Source organism: Homo sapiens, chromosome 20, assembly GCF_000001405.40.
Source record: "Homo sapiens chromosome 20, GRCh38.p14 Primary Assembly".
NCBI lineage: Eukaryota > Metazoa > Chordata > Mammalia > Primates > Hominidae > Homo > Homo sapiens.
The window spans coordinates 57,409,621-57,424,287 of NC_000020.11; the positions used below are offsets into that span (position 1 = coordinate 57,409,621).

General features: G+C 53.8%; 12 annotated features.

The window, feature by feature from the left end:
• Positions 20 to 179: an enhancer, noted in NCBI's record as "active region_18149". NCBI's record gives its function as "activates an Ori minimal core promoter by ATAC-STARR-seq in GM12878 lymphoblastoid cells {active_cell/tissue: GM12878}" and the evidence as "EXISTENCE:reporter gene assay evidence [ECO:0000049][PMID:35858748]".
• Positions 525 to 694: a silencer, noted in NCBI's record as "fragment chr20:55985201-55985370 (GRCh37/hg19 assembly coordinates)". NCBI's record gives its function as "represses an EF-1alpha promoter that drives an FKBP-Casp9 reporter gene in an ReSE screen in HepG2 liver carcinoma cells {active_cell/tissue: HepG2}" and the evidence as "EXISTENCE:reporter gene assay evidence [ECO:0000049][PMID:32094911]".
• Positions 890 to 1,019: an enhancer, noted in NCBI's record as "active region_18150". NCBI's record gives its function as "activates an Ori minimal core promoter by ATAC-STARR-seq in GM12878 lymphoblastoid cells {active_cell/tissue: GM12878}" and the evidence as "EXISTENCE:reporter gene assay evidence [ECO:0000049][PMID:35858748]".
• Positions 2,499 to 2,628: an enhancer, noted in NCBI's record as "active region_18151". NCBI's record gives its function as "activates an Ori minimal core promoter by ATAC-STARR-seq in GM12878 lymphoblastoid cells {active_cell/tissue: GM12878}" and the evidence as "EXISTENCE:reporter gene assay evidence [ECO:0000049][PMID:35858748]".
• Positions 2,729 to 2,778: an enhancer, noted in NCBI's record as "active region_18152". NCBI's record gives its function as "activates an Ori minimal core promoter by ATAC-STARR-seq in GM12878 lymphoblastoid cells {active_cell/tissue: GM12878}" and the evidence as "EXISTENCE:reporter gene assay evidence [ECO:0000049][PMID:35858748]".
• Positions 4,301 to 5,070: an enhancer, noted in NCBI's record as "H3K4me1 hESC enhancer chr20:55988977-55989746 (GRCh37/hg19 assembly coordinates)". NCBI's record gives its function as "activates a minimal SCP1, AML or CMV promoter by ChIP-STARR-seq in naive H9 embryonic stem cells {active_cell/tissue: H9 hESC(naive)}" and the evidence as "EXISTENCE:reporter gene assay evidence [ECO:0000049][PMID:30033119]".
• Positions 5,071 to 5,838: an enhancer, noted in NCBI's record as "H3K4me1 hESC enhancer chr20:55989747-55990514 (GRCh37/hg19 assembly coordinates)". NCBI's record gives its function as "activates a minimal SCP1, AML or CMV promoter by ChIP-STARR-seq in naive H9 embryonic stem cells {active_cell/tissue: H9 hESC(naive)}" and the evidence as "EXISTENCE:reporter gene assay evidence [ECO:0000049][PMID:30033119]".
• Positions 5,433 to 5,727: an enhancer, noted in NCBI's record as "tiled region #4494; HepG2 Activating non-DNase unmatched - State 20:ReprD". NCBI's record gives its function as "activates a minimal TATA promoter and a strong SV40 promoter by Sharpr-MPRA in HepG2 cells {active_cell/tissue: HepG2}" and the evidence as "EXISTENCE:reporter gene assay evidence [ECO:0000049][PMID:27701403]".
• Positions 5,633 to 5,777: an enhancer, noted in NCBI's record as "oligo 20:55990405:T:C used in the MPRA construct". NCBI's record gives its function as "activates a minimal TATA promoter by MPRA in K562 erythroleukemia cells, with higher activity for rs737092 T versus C constructs {active_cell/tissue: K562}" and the evidence as "EXISTENCE:reporter gene assay evidence [ECO:0000049][PMID:27259154]".
• Positions 5,721 to 5,740: a transcriptional cis regulatory region, noted in NCBI's record as "range of bases deleted by CRISPR/Cas-9 editing among clones D1 and D2". NCBI's record gives its function as "positively regulates RAE1 and RBM38 gene expression in K562 erythroleukemia cells {active_cell/tissue: K562}" and the evidence as "EXISTENCE:mutant phenotype evidence [ECO:0000015][PMID:27259154]".
• Position 5,729: a transcriptional cis regulatory region, noted in NCBI's record as "MPRA functional variant 20:55990405:T:C corresponding to rs737092". NCBI's record gives its function as "higher enhancer activity for the T versus C allele by MPRA in K562 erythroleukemia cells {active_cell/tissue: K562}" and the evidence as "EXISTENCE:reporter gene assay evidence [ECO:0000049][PMID:27259154]".
• Positions 5,839 to 6,607: an enhancer, noted in NCBI's record as "H3K27ac-H3K4me1 hESC enhancer chr20:55990515-55991283 (GRCh37/hg19 assembly coordinates)". NCBI's record gives its function as "activates a minimal SCP1, AML or CMV promoter by ChIP-STARR-seq in naive H9 embryonic stem cells {active_cell/tissue: H9 hESC(naive)}" and the evidence as "EXISTENCE:reporter gene assay evidence [ECO:0000049][PMID:30033119]".

The following is a 14,667-nucleotide window of genomic DNA, read 5'->3' on the forward strand; positions in this document are numbered from 1 at the left end:
CCTGGACGTGGATTGTGATTGGCAGCCCCACCAGATCCCTGTGGAATAGGAGGACAGTTCCCCCAGAGAAGGGGGGTTGCCACCAGAAGACCCTGAATGTGGGTTCCTGAGAGGACGTTGGCAGGTGTCCAGGACAGCTGCCCTTAGGGTAGAGTTGGGAGGGAAGCCTTGGTCTGGGGCTGGATAGTCCCAGCATCTGGAACTCAGAGCTGGGGAAATCACAAGGCCTTCATAGAGGAGGTGTCAGGGCTGGAGAATCCATCAACTCCTTCCTTGAATTGCTCACTCACTGTGTCATCCCGAGACGTGTGCTGGGTCACACGCAAAGCGCTGGGGATAGAGCAGACAGGGCTGCCCTTTGGGTTTATCATCTGCTGGGGGAGACACAACAATGCCCCAGGGTGATGGAGACTGACAGGTTTACGGCAGGGAGGGGATAGGGATTCTGTGGGGGTCTGCACTTCTTCCCAGGCCCTGCCGGCTGGCCCCTCCCTCCCACTGTCTCAGTTTGCAAACGCTTGTGAGGGGTCAGGGAGGGCAGCATGGGGCTTTCAGCCCGGAGGAGGAGACTTGCTGCAGCTGATAAGAACTTGGGGATCCACGGAGGGGGGCTACGGGTACTGCCAGGGTTATCGTGAAGGCCACTCGCAGCCTGCAAGTTTCCTGTCACTATCAGCTGGTGACAGCCTCTGGGACAGGCCTTCGGGAAGGCCCTGAGGCCTTGAAAACATCTCCTGGGTCCCAGGATTGAAGGCTCTGGATAGTGACAAACCCAGGAGAGGGAATTTCTAAGTCACCGAGTTGGGTGGGGAGAGGGGCCGGCTGAGGGCAGCAGGGATGCAGAGCGCGGCCACCAGCCCCAGCAACAAGGGTCATAAACCCCAGCACTGCAGCACCAACATCTGCCGCCACTGACTCAGGTCCCCACGCTGTGCCACGCACTTTCATGGATGGTCTCAGTTACCCTCCAGGTATCTCCATTATCAGACCGGTGAACTAAGATGCTTAGGAGTGGAGCCCACATTGCCTGGGCCCCCAAGAGATGCGGTGAGAGGGGCTTGCCTGGAGCTGAAGGGCGTGGGCCTGATTGAGGTGGCCGGGGTGTGCCCAGACATGCAGGCTGAGCCCAGCCAGGTCCTCCCCGGCCTTGAGCCTCACTGTGCAAGACGGTCGCAAGTGTCCTCCCAAGGCAGGGACTTTCTGTCCTACCCACTGTGTTCCTAGCAGCCGGCACAGGCCTGTGCCCAGAGGGCCAGATGTCATACACACATGCATGCAGATGTATGTTTGTGTATGTATACACGTTAACACACATTATCCCAGACCCCCATATGCACAGACACATAGACACACACACACACACTGATACAGGCATACCTGTGCATAGATACACATATCCACATGGACATGCATCCACAGACACATTAGCACAAACATGTATGTGCTACACACACACTCCCACTCGATATTCAGAGATACATGCACACAGAGAAACAGACACACACTCAGACACACCATCACACATACACACGTACACACCCTGGCTCCCACACAGTACATGCACATGCACACGGAGATACGCTTGCACACAAAATTACCTTCAAGGCACACACAGATGTGCACACACATATATACATGTGGAGATAGACGTGCACACACCCCATGTACCTACACAAAGATACACACATATGTGCACCCAGACACACATGTGCACACACGTGTTGAGTGACAGTACAAGACCCACCCCCATCGTTTGGCTCCACAACAAGTGAGGGTGTTGCGGGGGGCAGCAGCCATGGTTTTGAGGGTTCATTGGCTTGGGAGAGAGGGAAGTGGAGCAGGTCCAGGCCGGAGGACTCGGGGGGAGAAGAGACGGGCACAGTGAGGGAGTTGCCGTACCTGGCCGCTCACTTGGCTGGGCGGCAGATGTTGGCTGCCAGTGTCCTTTGGCGCGGGGGAAGACCGCTCATTGCCAGCCCCCTAGTCCTCGAAAAGGTTTCTGTCTGGACATTGGCCCAGGCTCGGCCAGTGCACAGGCAGGCAGGAAGGGCCGGGGAGCTAACACCCCAGGGCAGCCCTCAGCAGGCCAGAGGGCAGTTAGGGGATAGACGCCCCTCCCTTGCCACCCTCGGCAGTCACTCTGGGGTGTGTGCCCTGCGCTGGTGCCCTGAGTCCATGACTCCCCCTTCTCTTCACTGCCTCACGTCCTCGATCCCCTGCTGTGCTTCCAGGGATCCCCTCCTGAAGCAGCTGCCTGTGGGGTTTGCACACCCAGCTGAGACGGCCGTGAGAGACCTCAACGACGGCAGCGTGGGCCAGGCACTCAACGTCCCCGGGAGTGGGGTGCCCAAGTCCTGTGGGGCCTGGAGAAGCGCCTGCTTCCCCTTCTTCAAGGAGCTGACAAAGCCCAGAGAGCCTCAGCAGTGCAGCCAGGGCCATCCCACTAGGCGGGCTTTGCCCACAGGTTGATCCACCTCTGAGCTGTCACCCTCCAAGCAGGCAAGAGGACCAGGCCTGGGAGCAGAGGCTGAGCGCAACTTCCGGGGCACGTGGCTGCTGTGTGAGCCAGCTGGGGGCTGGGAGAGGCACGCAGGATCCAGAGGGGCCTGAGACCCCACCCCGCCCCATGGCATTGATTTGGAGACTTCTTGCTGGGGAGGGGCAGTGGTGAGTGAGAGGTGCTTCCCTTAGAGCCCCATTTTCATGCCACTTTCCAGTTGAGCAAACTGAGGCCCAGAGAGGAAAAAGGGGCTCTCCAAGGCCATTGGGCTGTCACTCCCCTTCTGGGGGTGTAATCACAGAGGGACTGGGCTGGGACAAGGTGTGGGAACCACAGCCACCGCAGCCCACGAGAAGAAGCCACACAATGGTGAGGTCACCTCCGTGTCACAGCCCTGGCTTGCTCTGCTCTGCCCTGGTGGGGAGCTTGCCTGGTTGCCATCCTCCTTGAACCTCACCTTCTTCCCTGCATGCATTGAGCTGACCCCTGGGTAGCCCCGCAGGTCCTGCCGGCCCAGCATCCACTCCCTTCCTGGTGACAGCACCTGCTTTTCCTTAGGGAGCTGCCCCCGCACCACCCTCAGGCCAGGTGGTTCAATGGAGCCACCTCTACCCCTGGCTCTGCAGCTCAAATAGTCAGCATATTCTACTCCCCTGGACCCTCAGAATGGTTCAGGGATAGACGTGTGACCCAGTGTGGGTCCATGCGAGTCAGTCCTCCTGGGGGAGGAAAGCTGTCCCTCTGCTGAGGAAGCCAAGCTGGGAGCAGATAAGCCTGAAGCAGCTGGGGGCAGAGAGGAGTTTGTGCTTATGGAGAGGCTGCCTGAGAAGGAAGCCAGCCCAGGAGAAAGGAGAGCTGAGGAGGAGAGAGGAGCAGAGATAGGGTCTTGGGGACATCTCTGGGGGCTTTTGATCCAGCTATGCCTGAAGTTAGATCCTGGACCTTTTTAATTTGAGAGCTAATACTTTCCCCCTTTTACTTAAGCCTATTTGATTTGATTTTTTTGTCCCTGGCAACCAAGACTCTGGACATATACAACCTCAAAGGGCTGGCATTACTTAGAATTAGGTTCAGCAACTGCAATAGAAAGTCCAAAATTAGGGTGGTTCTTAGCTACCTGTAATGCATTTATTTTTCTCATGTAAAATAAGTCTGAAGCAGGCAGTCCAGGACTTGGATGACAGCTCCACAGTCATCAGGAGCTTAGGCCCCTTCCATCATCCCAGTGAACCATTTCAATGCATGGCTTCCTTCCTTAAGACCATCTTGGGGACCAAGATGGCTGCTGGAGCTCCAGCCATCATGTTCAAGTGCCAGGCAGCAGAAGAAAGAAAGGGGAAGGCTAGAGTATCTCAAGCCGAGACTTCTCGAGGAGACTTCCCAGAAGTTGCACACAACATTCCTCTTCCATTTCGTTGGCCAGAACTTAGTCACATGGCCATACTTAACTGCAAGGGATGGTGGGGAATGTCGGTGTTTAGCTGGGGATATAGCTACCTGGAACACAGAAAGCCTTCTGCTACCAAGGAAGACACGGGAATGTCCTTATGCAGACAACTTGCAGTTTCTGCCTCAGGTCCTTCCAGCAGTAAGCTTTGAGTCCATGAGAGTCATGTCCCATTCATACGTGCTTTATGGAGACTGTTACTGACCAAGCCTGTTACCTCTTTACCTTCACACCAGTGGGGTGCGCTGGGTCTATCCTTATGCCCATTTCACCCAGGGGGAGATCGCGGCTCAGAGCGCTCACTGCACATGGCCTGAGGTCACCTGGTTCCTTAGGGGCAGTTCCAGGAGGACAGCTCGAGCTTCTGCCTCAGTGAGGTGTTGGAAGTTTGGCAAACAGTTCTCATCGGACATGGCTGCCCACGTTCCTACAGGACCGGCGGCCCAAGGTGCCTTCGCATTCATGGTCCTTGAGTGGGAGCTGGGCCTGGGGCCACCAGGAGGTGCCCTCTGATGTGCTCCAGTGTGCTGGCTTGGTTCCTTCTCCTTAGCATCCTCCCACGAGGAGTGGAGTCATGGTCCCATTTTACAGAGGGGAAGACAGGCTCAGAGCGGGGAGGTGGCCTGGTGAGGAATAGCTGACCCATCCAGGCTTCGGGCCCGGGTCGGTCTGCCTCCAAAGCCTGTGTTGTTGGTCTTTGGCTATGTGGCCTCTGGGGAGCTTGCGTGGAACACCTTGACCAGGGCTCAGTCCTGTCTCCTAAGCCCCACCCATGCCTCCTTCAGGGGTGCAGACCCCCAGCCTGGGCCAGCTGCAGGCAGGGCCAACAAGGGGCAGCAGGAGGGGCTGGATGCTTGGGCCACCTCAGGCGATTGACTGAGCCCGGATGTTCCGGCCACCTCAGGTGACTGACTGAGCCACGGTTACATCACCTAGAAATGGGTTAATAACCAAGGTCCTGCCTCCCAGGGCTGTGGCCGGGATTACAGGGGATGAGTTAGGTAAGGTGCCCCGTGCAGCCCTGGTGTGGAGTAGGCGCCCCTCAGGGAGCCCTCAGCCCCCACTGCTAGCAGGGTAAGCGAAGCGATGGAGGGTGGGTTTGAGAAGACCCCTGATTCCTGGAAGGCCACCCGCTGTTTTTCAGGGTGCTGCCTGAGGATGACGGACCCATGCTGCCAATCCAACAAGACAAACCCTCCTGCTTCAGTCTCCCCACCTCTGGAACCGAGGTTGTCCTCAAAGCCCCAGAATGCATGAAAACTGGCATTTATTGGAGACCTGCCATGGCTTTACACCTGTCATTTCCCTAAACTCTCCCAGCAGCCTGTGAGAAGTTGACTGTGCCCATTTCACAGATGGGAAAACCAAAGCTGAGCAGATTTGGCCGCCTGCTCCAGGCCAGAGAGCTGGACAGTGGCAGGGCCAGGGCAGAGCTGGGGGTTGGACCCATGCATCCTGAACCTGGAGCCACACGCCGCTGCACCCTGAGGACTGGGTTCTGGCCACCGCACCCATCCTCCACCTTCCTCAGCCAAAGTCAGCCGGGCGTCCTCCCCACCCCTGCCCTGGCTGCTGAGTCACACTTGTGTTTGTTCCCCAGAGACGTAAACATCCAACCAGGAGCCCCCTGGGCAGGAGGTTGGGAGCCCTCCAGATGCTGAGCGAATAACAGGGGCAGCTCTCCAGCGTGCCCCGAGGCTGGGTGTTGCATAGGGCACAGCCTGGGGTGGGCACCTGGGCTTCCAGATACCTCCTGGGCCTCCCGCAGGGGCCGATAAGTGTCTGGCTCTGCTTATCAGCCCCGTTGCCCTGCCTGCTCCCGCCTCAAGTCCTGGTGTACACATTGGGGTGCACGGTGGCCTGGAGATCATGATGGGGTGAACCACCCTCCGCCCACAGCCCGGCCCACCAGACAGCTGAGCCTGGTGCAGCAGAAACAACTCAGAGGGTTCCCGGGTGCCTCCTGCTGGCTCCCTGCTCCAGTGATGGGGGCGTTTTTAGAGAAATTAAAATAAAGATCTTTTTTTCTAAATTATAAAATTAAGACTGTTGGGGGGAAAATGTGACTATTTCCTTTAATTTATTAAAATAATCTGCATATGTGTATAAAAAGGAGTGGAAGGAAAGAGACCAGGTGTTAATGGTCGTAGGAGGACAGGAGGCTTTTATTTTTTCTTAACACGGCTCTCTATTTTTCACAGCTGAGAAATGAAAGCCAGCGAATGAGGCTTGGCGTTTGGTCATTTGCTCTTGCATCTGTGTGTGCGCACTCCAGACGCTCCAGAGGTTCCAGTGGGTGGTGTCTGTGCCCCTCTCTTCTGCTGACTTTCTGGGTTTCTCTGATAGGCCTGAGCCTGCAGCGGGGTGGGGTTGGGGTCCAGGCGCTTGTCTATGGGAACCCGCTCTGTCTTCAACCGTGTGACTCAGAACCCAGTTTCCCGGCACACACACAATCACACAATACAAGCCCTCTGTGACTCTCCACTAAATCCCACTTCCTTGCACAGCCTCCACGGCCAGGGCGAACTGGCCCTGCCACCTGTCTGATCCTGAGAGAGAGAGAGAGAGATGGAGGGAGTCACTCTCTCCTTGTTGTCCCTGAACCCTAACTCAAATGTCAGCCTTGGAGATGCCTTCTGGGACCTCCCTATCTAAGCTATCACCTCCAACCCCATCCTTGTTCTCTCATTTGTTTTTCTTTCCAAGCAGCTGTCTCTGGGATAAGGGCCTGGCCTCAGAGCGTCCTAGGCATGAGTCTGGGCTGCCTCTTCTTCCTCCTCCCTGGGCCTGACAACCTCGCTCCTGGGAAATGGGCTGAGCCTGGGGTTCCTACCCTCCCACGCAGTGGCAGGACCGTGCTCCCCAGCAGCCAGCGTGCCCTGGGATGGCTCGCCCTGCGCAGGTGTGGACAGCCTCTGCCCAGCTTGCAAGCACAAGCCCTCCTGAACCACGGGAGAGCGGAACGTCACCAAAGGCTGCTTGGCTCCCACAGGCCTAGGTGGAGGTGTGGCCCATGAAGGCCACAGTCCTGAATCTCAAGCTGAGGTTTAGCAAAAGCCTGCAAGGTAACCGGGGGCGTGGGGAGCTGTAGTCCTCATCCTCAGGGTGGGCAGGGCAGAGAAGCCTGAACTTATCCAGCACTGGGCTTGTGCCAGGCCCTGTGCCCACCACTCAGCAGCATGGGCTCATCAAATCCACACAACAACCCACTTTATAGATGCAGACACTGAGGCTCAGGCTAGTCAGGGAGTTTTCCCAGGGTCACACAGTGAGTAGCTGGCAGAGCTGGGCTCCAAACCCCGGGGGATCTGATGCCAAAGCTGCCCTCCTAACCTGCAGCTGGGGTCTCCATGGGAGGAGACAATGACCTGTATTCTGGTGTGGCCACAGGGAGAAAGGCCACAGAGCCACTAAGAATGATACTGTGGAAGTCTATTTCCCGACACGGAGAGATGGCCACAGAGTACGGTGGAAGGAAAAAAGCCACCATGAACAGAAGCTTCTCACAATGCTGGGCCCAGAGTTCCTCACAGCAGCAGTGACACCCGTGCTCTCCAGTTTGCTCCAGTCCCCACCAATCTTTACTGTGCCTCTCATTGAACCCTGGCAGGCATTTTAACTTGTCGGTTAGGAGTCACAGGAGAGCCAAGTAGAGGAGGAAGCAGGAACCGTGTACACACGTGCTTTATCCCCCTTGACGTCTTTCTAGAGGACAGTTATGCAATTATGTGACAGATGGAGGGAGGGAGGGACTGAAGAAAGGGAAAAAGAATGGGTGGAGGAATGGATAGAGATGTATGGATGGAGGGTGAATGGGAGGATAGATGGATATATGCATGGAGAAATGGTTGGGGAATGGATGGAGGGAGGGAGGGTGAATGGGAGGATTGATGGACAGATGAATGGAGAAACGGATAGAGGGAAGGAGTGTGAATGGGAGGATTGATGGATACATGAATGGAGAAATGGATGGGGAATGGATGGAGGGAGGGAGGGTGATTGGGAGGATTGATGGAAGATGAAATGGAGGGAGGGAGGGAGTGATGGATAAAGGAAGGGATGGATGGGGGGATGAATGGAAAGATAGAGATATCTTCAACCTTGGTCCCTACTCCAGCAGAGTTAGCTTTGCCTCAGGGGATGGTCTGGTACAAGGGTTAATCATTCAAGTGTTTGGAATCAGACCTGAATGTGAATCTGAGTTTCTTTCCTGACAAGCTGTGTGACCTTAGGTAAGTCACTCACCTTCTCTGATCTTCAGTTTCCTCATTATTAGAAAGGAAATAATAATACTAGATAATAATAATAATAGAATAATAATCCACATTCTATGGATTTGCCTATTCTGGACATTTCTTAAGAATGTCCATGCAATATGTGATCTTGGGGGTTTGGCTTCTTTTATTTTGCATCAGGTTTTCAAAGTTCATCCATGTTGTGGCATGTGCCAGCCCTTCTACTCCAGCAGAGTTAGCTTTGCCTCAGGGGATGATCTAGCACAAGGGTTAATAATTCAAGTGTTTGGAATCAGACCTGAATGTGAATCTGAGTTTCTTTCCTGACAAGCTGTGTGACCTTAGGTAAGTCACTCACCTTCTCTGATCCTCAGTTTCCTCATTAATAGAAAGGAAATAATAATACTTTGTAGTGCCTCCTAGAACACGAAGTAGAACAAGCACTTAGGGCCAGGTTTGAGGGAGAAGTTGAAGGTGGGCCCACCTTTATTAGGATCCGTGCTGCTGCTACGGTCCTATCAACCCTGCCCTGAGAAAGTGCCCTCTCTGCTTCCGGGCCCTTTGTGTTGAGCTGGTTAATCGCTCGGGAGACTCGATGGGTTCCCCACCTCCCCACCCCCAGCTCTGAGGATCTTGGGATCTCGCTGGACTGGTGTTAATACCAATAGCATCCCCTTGCTCACTGCCTCCAACCTCGACCGGACTCTCAGACCCCGCCCAAAGCCACAGCCGCATCTTCGTGACCATGACCTGAGAAGGCTCCTTGCAGCCCTGCCGCAGAGCAATCCTGTTATCAGGGCTTCCAGCCCTGGCTGCACCTGAGAACTGAGCTGCAGGAGCTGCTAAAAGCAATGCTGCCTGTGCCCCACCCGGAACCCAGTCTTTGGGAGAAGCGCCTGGCATGAGTATTTTTTTAAGCGCTTCTGACTGATACTAAGGCAAAGCCTGGCCTGAGAATAAAAGAAGCTCTGTGTTTAGTTTCTTTTCTTTTTAAAATGTTTCTATTTTTTCTTTACTTTTCTGTTTAGTTTCTTCGGCAGTGAAAACAGACTCTGCTGTCTGTAGTTGGATGAAGAATTCACGTTTGTTTTCCTTTCAGGGTTTTGATGGGTCAGTGTAAAATATGTTTTTTGTTAATCCCCTTGGGTTACAGCTGGTTAGAGTAGGGGGTTGGGAGCCCCTTCCTCTTACTTTACAGGGCTCCAAAATCCTCCGCAGAGTACAATGTGGGGCTGAATTTTATTATAAGGTAAACTGGTTTAAAAGAATAACACTAAACACAAATCAAAGGAAAGAGATGAGCTACCACTTCGCATTCACTAGGATGGGATGAAAAAGTCAGAGAAACTCAGGTGCTGGCGAGGATGTGGGGGAACTGGACCCCCACACACACTGCTGCTGGGAATGGAAAATAGAAAAAACAAGCTGGCAGGTTCTTCAAATGATTAAACAGAGAGAGCTACCATGTGACCCAGAGAGTCCACTCCTCAAAAAACCCAAGAGAAATAAAAGCTTCCACACCAAAACTTGGACACAAAGGTTCTTTTGTTTGTTTGTTTGTTTGTTTGTTTTATACTTTAAGTTCTAGGGTACGTGTGCACAATGTGCAGGTTTGTTACATATGTATACATGTGCCGTGTTGGTTTGCTGCACCCATTAACTTGTCATTTACATTAGGTATCTCTCCTAATGCTATCCCTCCCTCAGCACCCCAGCCCCCAACAGGTCCCGGTGTGTGTGATGTTCCCTGCCCTGTGTCCAAGCGTTCTTACTGTTTGGTTCCCACCTATGAGTGAGAACATGCGATGTTTGGTTTTCTGTCCTTGTGATAGTTTGCTCAGAATGATGGTCTCCAGCTTCATCCATGCCCCTGCAAAGGACATGAACTCATCCTTTTTTATGCCTGCATAGTATTCCATGGTGTATATGTGCCACATTTTCTTAATCCAGTCTATCATTGATGGACATTTGGGTTGGTTCCAAGTCTTTGCTATTGTGAATAGTGCCACAATAAACATACGTGTGCATGTGTCTTTATAGTAGCATGATTTATAATCCTTTGGGTGTATACCCAGTAATGGGATGGCTGGGTCAAATGGTACTTCTAGCTCTAGATCCTTGAGGAATCGCCACACTGTCTTCCACAATGGCTGAACTAATTTACACTTCCACCAACAGTGTAAAAGCATTCCTGTTTCTCCACATCCTCTCCAGCATCTGTTGTTTCCTGACTTTTTAATGATCGCCATTCTAACTGGTGTGAGATGGTGTCTCATTGTGGTTTTGATGACAGAAAGGTTCTTAACAGCACTGTTTGTAATATCCAAAAAGTGAAAACAACCTAAATGTTCCCCAGTTGAAGAATGGATCCACAAACTGGCATATCCACGCAATGGAAAATTATTAGCCGTAAAAAGAAATGAAGGACCGGCACACACCACAACATGGATGAACTTTGAAAACCTGTTGCAAAATAAACGAAGCCAAACACCCAACAGCACATCTTGCATGGACATTCTTATGAAATGTCCAGAATAGACAAATCCATAGAATATTTCAAAAAAAAAGCAACTGAAGTCACCATGGGAAAATCAGAATTCTGTGGGCCTTCCCTATGCGTATGTATAGCTTAATATCTCTTTTATTTTGGATGGTGTGCATGGCGGGGTGCTTCATTCTTCTCCCTGTTTGTCCCCAAAGTCTCCACTTGGCAGGAATACTGGGTTGGAGGTGACCAGGGGCAGGCGCATCCCGAAGCAGGGAGTGAGCCACCCGGCGGTGCCCCCAGGCTACACTAGAAGCCTTGACTTCCAGTTTTACCAAACTGGGGAAGAACTCAGCCAAGTTCACGTGAGCAGCAGGGTGCTGGGGGCGGGAAACTGGGAGTCCGGTTGTGCCGTGTTGAGTGTGGGCTGGTGGGCAGCAGGCGGTGCCTGGAGCATGAGCTGGGCTCTGGGAGGGTGCAGGCTACAGGGGCCGAGGGCGCTGCATTGAGCGGGACGGATGGGTGATGCTGCCACAAGCAAACCCCCAGGGCCCAGTGGCTGAAAGCACACAAGCTGGTTCTCATCCAGGACACGCCTGTGGAAGCTGGAGGCCATTCCGTGTCACTGTGGCCCTCAGAGCAGGACCCCGGACAGGCTGAGCTGGGGCTGAAGGGAACAACGTGGTCATGATGGTGGAGGGAAGGCACACAGTGGCCTTTGTGCCTCTGCCTAGAAGTAAAGCACTCATGTCACTCAGCCCACGTGTTATCAGAGCCAGTCATACGGCCAAACCTCACCTCCTAAGGGCGGGAGGTGCAGCCCTCCGGTGTGCTGAGGGGAGAGAGAGCCCCCAGAGACCACTCCAGGCATCTCCAGCAAACAGAGGTTGTCACCACCCTCAGCCGGCAGAGACTGCCTGTGGAATGAGTGCAGGTGGAGGAGAGGGGAAGATGATCCCTAGCTGGGACCCACCCTGTGTGGGGCTCTGGAGGGAAGGAAACAGCCCTGGTCCCAGCTCCTTCCAGAGCCGCTGACCCAGCCAGGTTGCACTCTGCGGGAGGTGGCCCGGGAGCCGTGCTGCCCCTAACCTCACCCTGAAGCTGGTCCTTCCAGGAGGGGCCGCCTCCTCGGAGAGAGGAGATGCCATGGAGAGGCCAGGGAAACCGCCACGGGGCCGTGTCCAGCGCTTCTCCAGCCAATACTCACCAGAAACGAAAGAGGTTCCAGGGTGATGTGATTGGGGTCTGTCTGCCCTGCTAGACTGTGAGCTCCAGGGGCTCAGGGCCAGGCCAGGCTCTGCTCACCACCATTGTCACTCCAGTGCCCGGCACCCTGCCTGGCATGCACTTGGCACTCAATAAATGTCTGCGGAAGGAATGATGCATGAGGAGTCCTGAGTGCACAGGTGGCCCTGCTGAAACTCCTTCCCACCGCGGGGCCTTCGCACATACCGTGTCCACTGCCTGGAGCACCTCCCTGCAGGTGTTGATGTAGTGCCCTCCTCCACCCACCCTCTGACACTGCCTGCCTCCTCCAAGCGCTTCTCAGGGTTTGTGCCACTCAGTGCATTTATTCATTTGCTCATTTTAACATCTGCCTCCTTCCTGAACGTGAACTCAGGAGGCAAGGGTGTTTCCGACCCATCCATGACAGTGCCCAGCCGCCCGTCCAGTGTCTGGCACAAAGTAGGGAACTTACAATAGTTGCTGCTCATGTGAATTCTAGAGAATTTAAATTAAACGACCTTCCAAGCTTCAAAGTCAGCCGAAGCAGCATCTGCCACCCACAGTCACCTGCGTCGGGTGAGTCCTCATGAGACAGTGCACTGGGGGATAGGAATGCTGCAGACACAGACTTGGGCCCTGCCTGGAGCTGCCCTGGGAAAGGCCTGTGGGGGTGCAGCCAGGCCCCCTCCCCTGTTCCCTGCTCCTGGGGAGTCTTCCAGTAGAGTTCAGAGATGCCCGTGCGAGGGTAGGATGTGGAGGCCTCCCTCTGAGATCCTCTTGGGACAGCCTTGCTCTCCTTCAAGGGCCACAAGGTTCAATTTTGACCATATTTGCCTCAGAGAAAAACAGCCACCCCGTGGGGTCGTGGTATAAATACCAGTTTATTTACTCTGATTCTCAGCAAAGCATGCTTCCAAGGAGCAAAGGTTTCCTGCTTGCTAGTGTACAATTTTGGAAATGTGGCCCTGGGACAGGAGACTGTGGCAGGCTCGGCTAAAGGCACAGTGGGGGATGGGGTGCAGTGTCCGATTATGGGGGTGCTGCTCCACCCAGGTCACCTCACAGAGTGCCTTCCCTCCGGAAAGTAAGACAAGGAAAATTCGAGAATAGACTCCCTGGCCCTCTGCACTGGGGCTTCCGAGGCCAATTACCAGACAGCCTGGAACTGTGCCCAGGTTTTCCTTGGGGGAACTCTCCCTTCTCTACTCCAGGTCCCTGGGTCTCAGGTGAGTCCAGTTCTACCCCTGGCCCTATGGGGGTGGGCGTGAGGCCCAGGCCTGGCCAATAAGAACATTGGATGCCACTGGCCTCAGTAATGAACTCAGGAATGGGCACATCATCCAGTTAGAGCCAATGAGATACCATAAAGTTTATGCTGGGGTGGCTGGGAGAGAGGCAGGACCCCTTTTCCATGGACATTAACCTGGGGGGTTAGAGTCTGAAGCTGCCAGGATGACCCTATGGACCCTGAGCATGAGGCTAGTTTGGGGGATAGCAGGTGTGGGAAACAGAGAAACCAAGTCCCGGTGACAGTGTTTAAGCTGCTGGATCCAGCCATTCCTGAAGCCAGACCAGTGAGAGAGCAAGTCAGTTCTCTTTTTTCATTAAACTAGTGTCTTGATTTTCTATTATCAACTTATCACCAACTTAGTGGCTTAAAAAAACACTTATCTGGCCAGGCATGGTGGCTCACGCCTGTAATCCCAGCACTTTGGGAGGCCAAGGCAGGCAGATCACCTGAGGTCGGGAGTTTGAGACCAGCCTGACCAACATGGAGAAACCCCATCACTACTAGAAATACAAAATTAGCAGGGTGTGATGGTGCATGCCTGTAGTCCCAGCTACTCAGGAGGCTGAGGCAGGAGAATTGCTTGAACCTGGGAGGCGGAGGTTGCGGTGAACCAAGATCGTGCCATTGTACTCCAGCCTGGGCAACAAGAGCAAAACTCTGTCTCAAAAACACAAAAACAAAAACAAAAACAAAACAAAAAAAAACCCCACTTATCCATTATGTCACAATTTTGTAGGTCATGCCCCAAAAGGGACCTTGGCTTGAGGTCTCTTGAGGCTGAAATCAAGGTGTTGGTGGTGCTGGATTACTTACTGGTGGCTCTGGGGAAGAATCTACTTCCAGCCTCATTCAGTTGCTGGCTGAATTCAGTTCCTTGCATTTGTAGGACTCAGGTCTCCCTTCCTTGCTGGCTGGGAGCTGGGGCAGGTCTTTGCCCTGGGGGACTGCCAGGTTCCTTCCTGCACTTTCGTTTTCCTTTTTCTTTTTCTTTTCTTTTTTTTTTTTTTTTGTTAAGATGGAGTCTCACTCTGTCACTCAAGCTGGAGGGCAGTGGTGGCATTGCAGCTCACTGCCTCCACCTCCTGGGTTCAAACAATTCTCCTGCCTCAACCTCCTAAGTAACTGGGACTACAGGTGTGCGCCACCATGCCTGGTTAATTTTTGTATTTTTAGTAGAGACAGGAGTTCGCCATGTTGGCCAGGCTGGTCTTGAACTCCTGACCTCAGGAGATCCACCCACCTCGGCCTCCCAAAGTGCTGGGATTACAGGCGTGAGCCACCGCGCCTGGACCGTTCCTGCACTTTCCACGTGGCCCCACCAGCAACAGCAGGTGAGCGCCTCTCACACTCAATCTCTGCAGCTTCCCTTTTGCTACCCACCGGTCTCTGCCTCCAGCTGGAGAAAGTTCGCTGCCTTCACGGGTTTATGGGATTAGATTGGTCCCACCTGTATAATCCAGACATCATCTCCCTATCTGGAGG